This window comes from Homo sapiens, chromosome 1, assembly GCF_000001405.40.
Source record: "Homo sapiens chromosome 1, GRCh38.p14 Primary Assembly".
Lineage (NCBI taxonomy): Eukaryota > Metazoa > Chordata > Mammalia > Primates > Hominidae > Homo > Homo sapiens.
In genome coordinates this window covers 247,593,749-247,610,269 of record NC_000001.11, presented here as the reverse complement: position 1 = coordinate 247,610,269, position 16,521 = coordinate 247,593,749, and the positions used below count along the sequence as shown (strand labels likewise).

Below are 16,521 nucleotides of genomic sequence, written 5' to 3'. Positions count from 1 at the left end.
TTTCTCTTGTCTGATTGCTCTAGCTAGGTTTTCCACTACTATGTTGAATAACAGTGGGGAAGGTGGGCATCTGTGTTGTGATCCAGATCTTGGAAGAAAGGCTTTCAGTTTTTCCCCATTCATGATGATACTAGCTGTGGGTCCATTTTGCATGACTTTTATTATGTTGAAGTATGTTCATTCTATACCCAGTTTTTTTAAATTTTACATTAAGTTCTGAGATACATGTGCAGAGCATGCAGGTTTGTTACATAGGTATACATGTGCCTGGTGGTTTGCTGTGCCTATCAACCCATCATCTAGGTTTTAAGCCCCACATGCATTATGTATTTGTCTTAATGCTCTCCTTCCCCTTACCCTCCATGCCTCCGACAGGCCCCGTTGTGTGATGTTCCCCTCCCTGTGTTCATGTGTTCTCATTGCTCAACTCCCACTTATGAGTGAGAACATGTGGTGTTTGGTTTTCTGTTCCTGTGTTAGTTTGCTGAGAATGATGGCTTCCAGCTTCCCCCTTGTCCCTGCAAAGGACATGAAGTCCTTCTTTTTTATGGCTACATAGTATTCCATGGTGCTATACCCAGTTTTTTGAGGGCTCTTACCATGAAGGATTATTGAATTTTATCAAATGTTTATTCAGCATCATTTGAAGTGATCACATGGGTTTTTGTTCTTCATTCTACTGATACGATATATCACAGTGATTTATTTGCATATGCTGAACCATCCTTGCATCCCTTGGATAAACCCCACTTGGTCATGATTAATAATCTTTCTTTCTAATGTATTGTTGAATTTTGTTTGCTAGAATTTTGTTAGGACTTTTGCATCAATAACATAAGAGATATTGGCCTGTGGTGTTCCTTTTCTGATGTGTCTTTGTCTGGTTTTGGTATCAGTGTAATACTGGCCTCATGGAATAAGTTTGGAAGTACTCCCTCCTCCTCTATTTGTTGGAATAGTTTGAGTAGGATTGCTGTTAGTCCTTCTTTAAATGTTTGGTAGAATTCAGCAATGAAGCCACTGGGTCCTAAAGCTTTTCTACACTGGGAGACTGTTTATTACAGCTTTGACCTCGTTACTGGTTATTGGCTTGTTCAGGTTTTGAATTTCCTTAGGGTTCAATCTTGGTAGGTTGTTTAGGTGTCTAGAAATTTGTTCATTTCTTCTAGATTTTCCAATTTAATAGCATATAGTTGCTCATTGTAGCCACTAATGAACCTTTGAATTTCTGCAGCATCAATTATAATGTCTCTTTTTATTCTGATTTTGTTTATTCAGACATTCTCCTTTTTTTCTCAGTCTGGCTAAAGTTTCATAAATTTTGTCTAACTTTTCAAAAAACCAACTTTCTTTTATTGACCTTTTTAATTTCAATTTCATTTATTTCTGCTCTGATCTTTTTATTTCTTTTCTTCTACAGATTTTAGGTTTGGTTTGCTCTTGCTTTTCTAGTTCTTCAAAATGCATCATTAGATTGTTTATTTGAAAGTTTTCCTCTTTTTTGATGTAGGCTTTTATGGATATAAACTTTCCTCTTAGTACTGGTTTTGCTGTATCCCATAGGTTTTGATATGTTGTGTTTTCATTATCATTTATTTCAAGAAACTTTTCAATTTCCATCTTAATTTCTTCATTGATCCACTGGTCATTCAGGAGCATATTATTTAATTTCCATGTGTTTTTATAGTTTCCAAAATTCCTCTTGTTATTAATTTCTAGTTTCATTCCACTGTGGTCAGAGAAGATGCTTGATATTATTTCAATTTTTGGGGTGTTTTAAGACTTGTTTTGTGACCTAACATATGGTCTATCCTTGAGAATGATCCATGTGCTGAGGAAAAGCATGTGTATTCTGCAGCTCTTGGATGAAATGTTCTGTAAATGTCTATTAGGTACATTTGGTCTGTAGTGCAGATTAAGTCCAATGTTTGTTTGTTGATTTTCTGTCTGGAATATCTGTCCAATGCTGAAAGTGGGGTGTTGAAGTCTCCAGCTATTGTTGTATTGGAGCCTACCTATCTCTCTCTTTAACTCTAATAATAGTTGCTTTATATAATCTGTGTGCTTCAATGTCAGGTACATATATGTTTACAATTGTTATATACTCTTGCTGAATTGACCCCTTTGCAACAATATGAATGAACCTGGAGGACATTATGCTAAATAAAAAAGCTAGTCAGAGAAGGGCAAGTAGTGTGTGGTTTCACTTATATTAAATATTTAAAATAGTTACCATCATAGAAGTAGAGAATAGAATGATGGTTACTAGGGGATGAGAGACAAGAACATGGGGAGTTTTTGTTCAATAAGTACAAAGTTTCATTTATGCAAGATGAATAAGTTATAAGAGATCTATTATAAAGCATAGTGCTTATAGTTTACAGTGCAGTATTGTGCACTGAAAAATTTGTTAAAAGTGTTGATCATATGTTGTGTTATAACAAGCACAAATAAGAAGCACAAGGAAACTTCTAGATGTAATGGTTATGTGTATTACTTTGTGGTGATATTTTCAAGGGTGTATGTATATATCATACTCATCAAATTTTTTTTCTTTTTTTTTCTTTTTTTTTTTTTTTTTTTGAGACAGAGTCTCGCTCTGTCGCCCAGGCTGGAGTGCAGTGCGCGATCTTGGCTTACTGAAAGCTCTGCATCCCGGGTTCACGCCATTCTTCTGTCTCAGCCTCCCGAGTAGCTGGGACTACAGGCACCTGCCACCAAGCCCAGCTAATTTTTTTTTATTTTTTTTTTAGTAGAGACGGGGTTTCACCGTGTTAGTCAGGATGGTCTCGATCTCCTGACCTCGTGATCCGCCCGCCTCAGCCTCCCAAAGTGCTGGGATTACAGGTGTGAGCCACCGCGCCTAGCCCATACTCCTCAAATTTTATACATTAAATATGTATATCAATTATACCTCAATGAAGCTGTATTTTTAAAAAAAGAAAATAATAATGTCTTTTGAAGTCCAATTATTCTCATTGATTGAATGTATGAAAAGGTATAGAAGAAAATTATTTGATTATTTTATTCTTTCAAAAGTCTTGTACCTACCATGTATAAAGTGACCTCAGTTCTCACTTCTGCAACTCATATACTAACATTGAAATAATACAGAGAAGATGAGCATGGCTCCTGCACAAGGATAAAGTGGCCTCAGAACACAAAAAGAGATGCACACTCTAAGTTATGAAAAATAATGTGTTTAGCGTATTTTGTTCTTGTTACCCCTTATAAATTCTTAAAATGTATTTGGAACGGTTATTTAAAAATAGCTTATGCAATATCCTACTGACCAATAAATTTGAACTACGAGCACATGCAGGAATTGCTTATTTTCAACATAAAGCTATAATGAAGGACATTACGATGTAAATGTAAAGTGTTTGGCAGGAAACTGAACATTTTATTAAAACTGAAGAAAAGTCTCCTAACCTAGATAAATACATGGTAAATACTTAATAATTTATTTTTCTGAATCCCTGGGAATAAGTATCAGACATAAAATAGAGGCTTTGTGGTGAGGATCACAATTTACAACCATCCACAGCTCTCTTTTCAATAGTTTATGCTCTCAAATAAACATATAAACATTTTACTTAGTTACACATAAAAAAGGAAAAAGTCCCTTATGAAGAGAAAATAAGTGAGCAGTAATATAGTTCATGTGAAATTTAGAACTATGGGTTTGACTAAATAGAAGCTGAATAAGCTACCTGGCTTATAATGAATTCCTTGCAAATCATGTCCATAGGAATCACAATTTTCCCGAGAGAAGTTTCCTCAGAGCCTCTTTCATATCCTTGTTCCTTAAAGTATAGATGATAGGATTTAAAGTGGGGGTCACCATGGTGTAGAAGAGGGAGATAAACTTCCCTTGGTCCTGGGCATAGCTGTCACTAGGTTGCAGGTACACGTAGATTATGGTGCCATAGAATATAATCACCACTGTAAGGTGGGAGGAGCAGGTGCTGAAGGCTTTGTGCCTTGCCTCTACTGATTTGATCCTCAGCACAGCTTGAGTTATGAAGCCATAGGAGATGGAGATGAGTGCTGGTGGAATGACAACAAACAGAACACTAACAACAAAAAGCACCAATTCATTGACAGTGGTGTCCACACAAGCCAACTTGAGAAGAGCTGGTACTTCGCAAATAAAATGGTCCAGCCTATGGTTGCCACAGAGAGGCAATTGCAAGGTAAAAGTTGCATGGATTAGGGAACTAGCCAAACCACTGAGCCAGGAGATAGATGCCAGCTGTTGGCAAAGCCGTGGGTTCATGATGACTACATAGTGGAGGGGTTTGCAGACAGCAATGTACCGATCCAAGGCCATGTCAGCCAAGAGGATACATTCAGTGGAGCCCAGTGCCAGAGAAATATAGAGTTGCGCCACACAACCACCGTAAGTGATCGTCTTCTTTGGTCTTTGCAAGTTAACTAAGGTCTGAGGAGCAAGGCTAGTAGTGAAGCAGATGTCCAGTAAAGAGAGGTTGCTGAGAAAAAAGTACATTGGGGTATGAAGAGGGGGATCCAGATATGAGATGATGATTATGGTGAAGTTTCCCACAAGGGTCAGGAGGTAGAAGAAAAGGACAAATACAAAGAGAACAGCCTCCAGACGAGGGTGGTCTGAGAAGCCTAGAAGGATGAAATCCATTAGGGAACTCTCATTGCCCAATCCCATCCCTCCAGGGGGATCCGCACCTAAGGCAGGAATGGAATGGGTACATCCAAAACAATTAAATTTAGAATAACAGAACACATGAGCTGAGAGGATCATGGAGACCAACTTTCCCAAACTATTCATTTTTCACCCTAAACTATTCATTTTTCACTAATGTGCTGCTGACTTGGAACATCAATCCATGTTTCTTCATTCCAGTTCAAAGGCTCATCTTTAAAAATTATGAATGATTACAACTTTGGAGTTGTCTGGGGATTGATTATTAAAGCCAATCAAAGTGCATATTTACATGCATATCAAAAAATCCACAATGACCTACCACTAAAAATAAATTTCTCTCAAAATACGGTGAACAGTATCTCCCTGATTTTCAACTGTCAATAAATTATCTGCATATGAAATACCTTACTCAGATTTGATTGTAAGCACAATCAGATGGGGAAGACTTTTTAGATAAAACTAATTAAAACAAAGACTTTAAAACCTTTAAAATGGGTATGATTGGTATGAAGGAGATAGAAAATCATTTTTGATATGTGTCACATTGGTACTAACTGGTGGAAAATGAAAAGACATATTTAAGGAACCAAAATATATGATATAAATTCAAATCATCTCATAAAAGTTTATTCAATGATTGAACTGCCAAAAAATAAAAATTAGTTTTAAAATTTTTTATTTATTTAGGCATTATTTAACCAAGTTGGCTAATAGTCCTTACTAGTGAAGAAAAATACATATACTCAAAGGAATATATATAATTATAAGAGTTAAAGATGCATTGCAGTATTCTTATAAATATAAAATTTGTTTGAAGGAACCCTGAGATAAATATATTAAAACTCCCTAACGTTTTGGCCAGATGCTGTGGCTCACCCCTTTAATCCCAGCACTTTGACAGGCTGAGTCACGTGGATCACTTGAGGTCAGGAGTTCGAGACCAGCCTGACCAACTTGGTGAAACCCCATCTGTAATAAAATACAAAAATTAGCCAAGTGTGGTGGTGTACACCTGTAGTCCCAGCTACTCAGGAGGCCGAGACAGGAGAATTGCTTGAACCTGGGAGGTGGACGGTTGCAGTGAGTCAAGATCGCACCACTGCACTCCAGCCTGGGAGACAAAGTGAGTGAGATTCCATCTCAAAAAATAAAAATAAAAATAAATAAAATTCCTTAACTTTCAAAATGTCAAAAACACAAAACAAATTATAAACAAAAATGAAAGTAATTTATGAGACTGTTGAAGAAAACTCAAAGTCATCTGGAGAATGTCGGAAGAGAATGTGTGAATGATTCACTTGTCTTTGTAAGAAGATTCAAAAAGAAATATTTTGCAAATTATGCATCTGACAAAGGACTAATATCCAGAATCTACAAGGAACTCAAGCAAATCAGCAAGAAAAAACAAATAATCCTATCAAAAAGTGGGCAAATGACATGAATAGACATTTCTCAAAAGAAGATATACAAATGACCAACAAACAAATTTTTTAAATGTTTAACATCACTAATAATCAGGGAAATGCAAATTAAAACCACAATGAGATTCTACCCTACCCCAGCCAGAATGGCCACTATTATAAAGTCAAAAAACAATAGATGTTGGCGTGGATGTGGTAAAAAGGGAATGCTTATCCACTGCTGGTGGGAATGTAAATTAGTATAACCTCTATAGAAAACAGTATGGAGATTTTTCAAAAAAACAAAAGTAGATCTAAAATTCAATCCAGCAATCCCACTACTGGGTATCTACCCAAAGGAAAAGAAGTCATTATATCAAAAAGACATGCACATGTGTATGTTTATCGCAGCTCAATTCACAATTGCAAGGATCTGTAACCAACCTAAGTGCCCATAAACCGATGAGAGGATAAAGTAAATGGGTTATACATCATGGAATACTACTAAACCATGAAAAAAATGAAATAATGCCTCTCAGCAACTTGGATGGAGCTGGAGGTCACTATTCTAAGTGAAGTAACTCAGAAATGGCAAATATTGTATGTGCTCACTTACAGGTGGGAGCTAAGCTATGGGTATGCACAGGCACACACAGTGGTATAATGGACATTGGGAACTGAAAAGGTGAGAGAGTGGGAGGGGAGTAGGGGATTTAAAAAACTACATATTAGGTGCAGTGTACACTACTCAGGTGATAGGTGCGCTAAAATCTCAGACTTCACCACTAGGCAGTTCATCCAGGTAACCAAAAACTACTTGTACCCTCAAAGCTATTGAAATTTTAAAATATAGTTTTTTGTTTGTTTTGTTTTTATTTCTTTACTTATTCATTTATTTTTAATCGACAAATTAAAATTGTATATAATGATCATGTACAACAAGATAAATACTGTTTTTTAAAAAAATATAGTTTTTTTCTGGGCCTTTTTCACATAATATGCTCCAAAATATGAGGTAGGTAGTAGTGTTCTAATTCTACAGATGAAAAATGTTTAAAATACGTGCCCCAAATTACTCAATTTTAAGTTTATGGGGCTGGATAAAGCCCAACCCAGAGTTAGGCTTAATATTTCCCTAAAGGCAGCTCATATACTTGACTCCATAAGCACCTTTGGCACCTAGGACACGTGTATTTAATTTTCTTGTGCAAAAGGGTAAATGGAGTTACCTGTGGCCACTCCAACTGTCTTTCCACCACTTCAGCCAGCTAAAGTTACTGCTGTGTCCTCAGGACCTATCAAAGGGCCTGACCCACAGCTGGGCTCAGTGAATACTATGGAATGAATGAGTCAGTATTTAATCAAAAGCTGATCACATAATACCACTATTATTATGGATTTTTTTATTATTCTTTAAGTTCTAGGGTACATGTGCACAAAGTGCAGGTTTGTTACATAGGTATACATGTGCCATGTTGGTTTGCTGCACCTATCAACTCGTCATTTACATTAGGTATTTCTCCTAACGCTATCCCTCCCCCAGTCCCCCATCCCACAACAGGCCCCTGTGTGTGATGTTCCCTTCTCTGTGTCCATGTGTTCTCATTGTTCAATTCCCACTTATGAGTGAGAACATGCGGTGTTTGGTTTTCTGACCTTGTGATAGTTTGCTGAGAATGATGGTTTCCAGCTTCATCCATGTCCCTGCAAAGGACATGAACTCATCCTTTTTTATAGCTGCTTAGTATTCTATGGTGTATATGTGCCACAATTTTTTTATCCAGTCTATTGTTGATGGACATTTGGGTTGGTTCCAAGTGTGAGTAGTGCCACAATAAACATACGTGTGCATGTGTCTTTATAGTAGCATGATTTATAATCCTCAAAACTTGTACCCTCAAAGCTATTGAAATTTTAAAACAGTTTTTTGTTTGTTTTGTTCTTATTTCTTTACTTACTTTGTTTTTATTTCTTTATTCATTTATTTTTAACTGACAAATTAAAATTGTATATATTTATCATGTACAACACGATAAATACTGTTTTATTTAAGTATAGTTTTTTTTTAAAAAAGATTCAAAAAGGTGAGTGCTGAAGGTATGCTTAGAAAATAAAATACTTGGAGTCAAACTGTAGAAATCACTGGGTGAAATAAAGTTCTTAGCTTTGCTGTGCAGGCAGTAAGATGTTGTTAAAGGCTCTGAGCACACAAGAGAGTAATATTTTCTGTTTCCATTTTGGAAATATTGGTGCATTGATAGGAAGATGGGTAGGGAAGATATTGATGTGAGGGAGTTCAGGTAGGGATAGTTCAATAGTTCTCATGATATTAACTAGGTTCGTGTCATGTGAATAGCCTGAGAATTACCAAAATGACAACATTAACTGAATGAAAGTCAATGGGAAGAAAATTAATGGAATGAAAATGACAAAATTAACCTAATACTGACTTTTAAATGGAAAGGGAGGTAAACTGAGGATATAAGATGATTTCGTGCTTTTCTTTCAGAATGAGGAAAGTAGGGATACGTGAAATCACAGGACAATTCCTATTCTCACTAATTGTTGTATAACTTACCAAGACTCCCAAATCAAAATGTGTTTCAGAATCTCATCAGCCAAGGTTATTCTTCCTGCTTGTTGTAAAATGTTAGCATAACATTTGAGTAAGGTGATTGTGTCTAATGTGCATATTTACATTCCCTTCAGAGCCAGCTGTGGGTTCTTTCCTCGCACCAGAGCCAGATGGAATGTTTGCAGAATGCCTGTAGAAATGTTAGTTTGTGCTAAACTCAGACACTTTTTTTTTTTACCATTTTAGACATTTCTAATTTATATTCTCCCTATAATTGAGAATCTTTACATTAAGTATGGCAAAATAAATAATAAATAGAAAAATATACATATTAGTACAAGTATAGAGAAGAGAATGATCACAAACACATTTAGAGAAGATGGCAGAAAGCAAGCTGAGCCCTTACATTCAGCTATGCCGTGTGTGTGTGTGTGTGTGTGTGTGTGTGTGTGTGTGTGTGTGTTTACCTTTTAATTTCAGGCATACATGTGCAGGTTTGTTACATAGGTGAACTTTTGTTATGGGGCTTTGTTGTAATATTATTTTGTCACCCAGGTATCAAGCCTAGTACTAATTAGTTATATTTTTCCTGTTCCTTTCCCTCCTTTCACCCTCCACTCTCTGGGAGGCCCCAGTGTGTGTTGTTCCCCTCTATGTGTCCATGTGTTCTCATCATTTACCTCCCACTTATAAGTGATGACATGTGGTATTTGGTTTTCTGCTCCTGCGTTAGTTTGCTAAGCATAATGGAGCTATGGCTTTTCTTATGCTGCTTCCCATGACAATGATAATCTTCTCCAACCCCCTTCACCAGGCAGTTATCTACACACTTTTAAGACTCAGTATTTCTCACGAACATACAAAGTCCTCTTTGACTCTGATTAGCACTCCTCTCTCATACATCCCTCCACCCAACCTTGGTGAGGCTTATTTTGTGTTCATTCCGTACCCTAAACTTACCTCTACAATAAAAAACTCCAATACCATACTGACCTAATGTTTTATGACCGTATGTATCTACTAAACCATAACCTACTTCTTAAACTGAGGGGTCATGTTCTACTGATACTTTATGGAATTTATATGATATCAAATGCATACTAATGTGTCAATAAATGCTTGATGAAGAAATGAATGCATTTTTCATGTGTCCTATTTCCCAGTCAGACTCTGTTGAATCTTCCTGGACGGAAGATACTGGGAAAAGAAGTGGTTAATATTGGTGGATCAGCTGACCTGGGGAGAGAGCTGAGCTATAAGGTGTCAGAGGACCCTAAAGCAGCAAGGAACCAAAATGAAAGTTACCGTGAAGCCTCTAATCACTGACTATGATAATGCATTCCAGTGTATAACACTGGAAGAAGCATCAGCTCCTCCTAATCCCTTCCCATCCCGCTACCTCACCTCTCATGCAGTGGTGCTTGGTGAAGGTAAATCAGCACAGATGCGAAGGTCATGTCACTGTCGAGGGTTCCATGAACGAAAGGCCCCTGCAATTTTATGGATCCCCAAACCAGGGAGCGTGAGAAAGGGAAAGGGCTACATGTGGTAAAGTACTGAATACTGAGTCAAAGATAGGAAAGTTGTCTTTAAGTTTCTCCCCTTCTCCTGCCTTACAAGAAGGCTCTGCCTACAGCACCAGACAAAGTGCAAGGAATAAAGATGAGCAAGGAATAAAGACGCTTAAGATATAAATGTGATTATGCAAAAGAACATGACAAGCCAGAGAGGTCAGAGCGAACCCTTGACTGCAACTCCCTCCAGAGTCTTCAACGCGCTGGCTGTGCCGAACACTGAGGTGGGGAGGCAGCTTTCCCCTATCCGTACTTTTCCACATCTAGCCCTTACCCTTTCTCATGGTCCCTGGATCCATAAAACTGCAGGAGCCTTTTGTTCATGGAACCCTCAACAGCGATATGAGCTCACATCTGTGCTGATTTACCTCAGCTTTCACCAAGCACCATTGCATGCCAAGTCCTTGCAATTCCCCCCAAAACAGGTTTTTAACCACAAGCCAACCCCTTAAATACCTGTGTGCTGCCATGCCACTCAGCCCTTGTTCATTATTCTAACCATCTGCCTGAATAAAGCTTTAAGACAGACGACTGAAAAATCATAATCGTGTCCTCTCTCAATCTGGAGAATCCAACTTAAGACCGATGCGTTTCTGGTCTAGTCCATCTTCCAGATGCTCTGGTCTTCCATAGTTACTTGACCAGTTGGTGAAAATATGAGACCAATGGCTACAGATTTCCTAGTGTCTGTTCACGTGTTTTAAGACCAGATTGGAAGTTGCCCACCTGATCAGTAAAGCACTCAGTCTGTTTAAGTAAGTGTCCTCTACCCATACATATTCTTGCTAACCATCAAATTTTACTAAAATACAATTACTTCATGAGAAGGAAACACAGAAATTACAGCAGTGTTAATAGAGTCGAGAAACAGTGGTCCTCTGGAAAACATTTTATTTCTACTCAATGAAATCCAACCCAATAATTTAAACCCTCAATCATTTTGGTTAAATTGTAATTCAACTATCCCTCTGTTTCAGCTGGCGAAGAGCTTACAATTTCAAAGGTTAGCAGTGGTGCACTACTTGAGGAAGCTTCCTCTGCAGTACTTCTCTTGAGTGATTTTTTTACAGAAGGCTGAAATTACCTCGAATTGAGTGTTCCACTTGTGTTATAGTTGTGTTTTTGTGGAATTGAGTGTGTGCTAAATCTATCAACTAAGTTGTTTCTATAAGTAAAATTTATCCCCAAAATGCTAATTATACTAATTAATTGCATGATACTAACTTGTACTTACGAAGACTAACAAGAAATTGCCCTATCTTTATATTCGATAAATGAAAGCAGAAGTCCAGATAGTTTACCTGTGTCACGCAACATTATTACTTTAACGATACAGCAAATCCAACAGTAATGAAAGCAATAAAGTTTCTACCTATTAACTTTTATGAACTTCTTTAAGAAATGATTGCATTCAATTTAGATTACACCAGATTGAATTCTTACTTACACTCAGGAATATTTAAAGGTGTCGGTGTTTTTCACATCTTCAGGATGCAAGTCATATAACATTTTCTTAGCTTTGTTATTTTGTGTCCAGCCTGCTGTTGACCCACAAGACAACTGGCTTCAAAAAACAATCTGTTCAAGATTTATATTTCTCGCCTGAGTTTATCCTGAGGAAATTATGTTAGTGGCAATGAAAACTTGGAGAAAAAGGGAAGCAGAAACAGTGAATTTTGCAAATTTACAAAATTGCCATGATTTGTTTTTACCACGTCTTCTGGGAAAAACCTGCATCCCCAGTAGGCAATTAGTGGAGGAACTGACTAGCTTCTTTGGATCATCAAGGAACAATAATACACATATTTCCCCAGTGTGAAGTATTCCTTTCTTCAGTATTATTCTGGCACCTCGTACTTCACATAGGAAATAGAAGCCATCAAACTTGTCCAACGTGAAAGAGCGAAAAGAAAACCCACTTAAGTCTTCTGTGTCCCTCCTCCTTCACTCTAGTTACCATAGAGAAGATCTTCGTCATCCCCTTTAAAGAGAATCTCTTTGCCCGTACTTTGGATTTCTAACCTTGAGCATCATTCTCTTAGAACTGAGATACTTTATATTAAAGCTATCATAACAAATGCCTAGAATAACTGTCTCTTTTGCAATCTCTTCTTACTCTCTTAAGCCCTTAATGGTTGGATTCATCAGTCCCAGTCCAGCGGGACTGATCTTCTAACAAATTAAATTTTCTCTTATCGGAAACTATATGCTTATTGCTATGTTAATTATGTGTAGATTTCTCTACTGAGGACTAGATTCATGTATCCTATTTTGAAACTACCATCTCCACTAGGTGAGACACCTCAAATGCACTGTGTTCAAATCTAAACCCTTGCTCTCTCCATTTTGTTTGCTGTAAAAGTGAATAATGTCACTATTATCCAATTATGCAAGCTAGAAATTTAGGCCCATCTTTGATGTAACTGTCAATAACTTTATCTACTAGGTATAAAAGAGTTAGGACTGAAATTCAAAACTATTCTTCTGAGTCTGGTGATCTTTGTACTACAGTCACTTGGGAGGTTATTTGACATATTGAAATTGTTAGTTTTTCATATGTTCAACCTCTTGTATAATCACTGTATTTTTTAGACTTCCTTCCTGAACTCTTTCCCCTCTGAATTCATAGCCTGTTTTTAATTTTTAAAACGTATATGTAGGCCGGACGCGGTGGCTCACGCCTGTAATCCCAACACTCTTGGAGGCCAAAGTGGGTGGATCATGAGGTCAGGAGATTGAGAGCATCCTGGCTAACATGGAAACCTGTCTTTACTAAAAAATACAAAAAAATTAGCGGGGCGTGGTGGCAGGCGCCTGTAGTTCCAGCTACTCTGGAGGCTGAGGCAGCAGAATGGCGTGAACCCGGGAGGCGGAGCTTGCAGTGAGCCAAGATTGTGCCATTGCACTCCAGCCTGGGTGACAGAGGGAGACTCCATATCAAAAAAAAAAAAGTATATGTAGTGGTAAAATATTTATTAAATTATATGTATATAAGCATATATGTAAAATAAAATATAAAGTGATAAAATATACACAACAAAAAACTCACCATTCTAATAACTAATCATTTCAACTTTTATCATACATTAAAGGGAACAAGTACAGGTTTGTTACATGGGTAAAAGGCATGACGTGTAAAATGCATGACACTAAGGCTTGGGGTCCCAGTGATTCCATCCCAGGAAGTGAGCATGATATACAACAGGTGGTTCTTCAGCCAATAGCCCACTTCCTCCCTCCACATCTGTTGGTCCCCAGTATCCATTGTTCCTAACTTTATTTATTTATTTATTTATTATTATTATTACACTTTAAGTTTTAGGGTACATGTGCACAATGTGCAGGTTAGTTACATATGTATACATGTGCCATGCTGGTGCGCTGCACCCTCTAACTCGTCATCTAGCATTAAGTATATCTCCCAATGCTATCCCTCCCCCCTCCCCCCACCCCACAACAGTCCCCAGAGTGTGATGTTCCCCTTCCTGTGTCCATGTGTTCTCATTGTTCAATTCCTACCTCATGTGTATTCAGTGTTTAGCTCCCACTTATAAGTGAGAACATGCAATCTTTGGTTTTCTGTTCTTGCATTAGCTCACTTAGGATAATGGCCTCTAGCTCCAACTATGTTGCTGTAAAGTACACATTTTTATTATTTTTTGTAACTACCTAGTATTTCATTGTATATCACATGTCTACCACATTTTCTTTATCCAATCCTCTGCTTGAGCACCTAGGTTGATTCCATGTCTTTGCTAGTATAAATAGCGTTGCAACATACAGGTGCATGTGTCTTTTGGATAGAATGAATTATCTTCCTTTGGGTATATACCCAGGAGTGGAATTGCTGGGTCAAATAGTGGCTCTATTTTAAGTTCTTTGAGAAATCTCCAAACTGCTTTCGAAGTGGCTGAACTAGTTTGCATTCCCACTAACAGTGTATAAGCGTTCCCTTTTCTCCACAGCCTCACCAGCATCTGCTGTTTTTTGACTTTTTAATAATCAGTATTCTGACTGGTATAAGATGGTACCTCACTGTGGTTTTGATTTACATTTCTCTGATAATTAGTAATGTTGACCACATTTTCATGTTTATTGGCTGCTCATATGTCTTCTTTTGAGACATGTCTGTTCATGTCCTTTGCCCATTTCTAATTGGATTTTTTTGGGGGGGTGGTTTGCTTGTTGATTTAAGTTCCTTGTAGATTCTGGATATAAGACCTTTGTCAAATGCACAGTTTGTGAATATTTTCTCTCACTCTGTAGATTGTCTGTTCACCCTGTTGGTAATTTTTTTTTTTTTTTTTTTTTTTTGCTGTTCAGAAGCTCTTTAGTATAGTTAGGTTCAGCTTGTAAATGTTTTGTTTTGTTGCAATTGCTCTTGGGAACTTAGTGATAAATTCTTTGCCAAGACTGATGTACAGAATGGTGTTCTTTAGGGTTTTTTCTAGGATTTCTATAGTTTGAACTTACATTTAAGTCTTTAATCTTGATTTAATTTTTGTATGTGGTGAAACGTAGGGGTACAGTTTCCTTCTTCTGCATGTGGTTAGCCAGTTATACCAGCACCATTTATTGACTAGGGAGTCCTTTTCCCACTGCTTATTTTTATTGATTTTGTTGAAGATCAGATAGTTGCAGGTTCGTGAATTTATTTCTAGGTTCTCTATTCTGTCCCACTGGCCTATGTGTCTGTTTATGTACCAGTACCATGCCATTTTGGTTACTGTAGCCTTATAGTATAGTTTGAAGTTAGGTAATATGACATAATAAAAAATGATAAAGGTGATATCACCACTGATCCCACAGAAATACAAACTACCACCAGAGAATAGTATAAACACCTCTATGCAAATAAACTAGAAAATTTTTTAAAAATGGAAAAATTCCTGGACACATACACCTTCCCAGGACTAAACCAGGGAGAAGTCGAATTCCTGAATAGACCAATAATGAGTTCTGAAATTGAGATAGTAATTAATAGCCTACCAACCATAAAAAGCCCAGGACCAGACAGATTCACAGCTGAATTCTACCAGAGGTACAAAGAGGAGCCAGTACCATTCCTGCTGAAACTATTCCAAACCACAGAAAAAGAGAGACTCCTCCCTAATTCATTTTATGAGGCCAGCATCATCCTGGTACTAAAATCTGACAGAGACACAACATAAAAAGAAAATTTCAGGCCAATATCCCTGATGAACATTGATGCAAAAATCCCCAATAAAATGCTGGCAAACCAAATACAGCAGCACATCACAAAGCTTATCCACCACAACCAAGTCGGCTTCATCCCTGGGATCCAAGACTGGTTCAACATATGCAAATCAATAAACATAATTTATCACATAAACAGAACCAATGACAAAAACCACATGATTATCTCAGTAGATGCAGAAAAGGACTTTGATAAAACTCAACACCACTTCATGCTAAAAACTCTCAATAAACTCGGCATTGATGGAACATATCTCAAACTAATAAGAGCTATTTATGACAAATCCATAGCCAATATCATACTGAATGGGCAAAAGCTGGAAACATTCACCTAGAAAACTGGCACAAGACAAGGATGCCCCCCTCACCACTCCTATTCAGCATGGTATTGGAGGTTCTGGTCAGGGTTATCAGGCAAGATAAGAAAATAAGGGATATTCAAATACGAAGAGAGGAAGTTAAACTGTCTACATTTGCAGATGACATGATTGTATATTTAGAAAACCCCATCATCTCAGCCCAAAAACTCCTTAAGCTGATAAGCAACTTCAGCAAAGTCTCAGGATACAAAATCAATGTGTAAAAATCACAAGCATTCTTATACACCAACAATAGACAGGCAGAGAGCCACATCATGAGTGAACTCCCATTCAAAATTGATACAAAGAGAATGAAATACCTAGGAATACAATTTCCAAGGGACATGAAGGACTTCTTCAAGGAGAACTACAAACCACTGCTCAAGGAAATCAGAGAGGACACAAAGAAATGGAAAAAAATTTCATACTCATGTACAGAAACAATCAATATTGTGAAAACGGCCATACTATCCAAAGTAATTTATAAATTCAATGCTATTCCCATCAGGCTACCATTGACTTCTTTACAGAATTAGAAAAAAACTATGTTAAATTTCATATGGAACCAAACAAGAGTTCATATAGCCAACACAATCCTAAGCCAAAAGAACAAAGCTGGAGGCATCATGCTACTTGACTTCCAACTATACTACAAGGCTACAGTTACCAAAACAGCATGGTACTGGTACCAAAACAGATATATAGACCAGTG

The 16,521-nt window shown here is 37.4% G+C and overlaps 1 protein-coding gene, 1 long non-coding RNA gene and 1 pseudogene across 3 annotated transcripts in view, besides 1 other annotated feature; 2 read left to right on the top strand and 1 right to left on the bottom strand.

Annotated features, from left to right (window-relative positions):
* The window catches only part of LOC102724446 (uncharacterized), a 75,216-nt gene that overhangs the window by 30,585 nt on the left and 28,110 nt on the right, over positions 1-16,521 (top strand). The window lies entirely within an intron of this gene.
* Positions 3,069-3,182, top strand: LOC124904709 (uncharacterized; annotated as a pseudogene).
* On the bottom strand, positions 3,755-4,684 carry OR2G3 (olfactory receptor family 2 subfamily G member 3). The gene has a single exon (NM_001001914.1). The coding sequence runs from the start codon at positions 4,682-4,684 to the stop codon at positions 3,755-3,757; it is 930 nt and encodes a 309-aa protein (NP_001001914.1).
* Positions 12,257-12,457: a silencer, noted in NCBI's record as "peak835 fragment used in MPRA reporter construct". NCBI's record gives its function as "represses an SCP1 promoter by STARR-seq MPRAs in K562 erythroleukemia cells {active_cell/tissue: K562}" and the evidence as "EXISTENCE:reporter gene assay evidence [ECO:0000049][PMID:32103011]".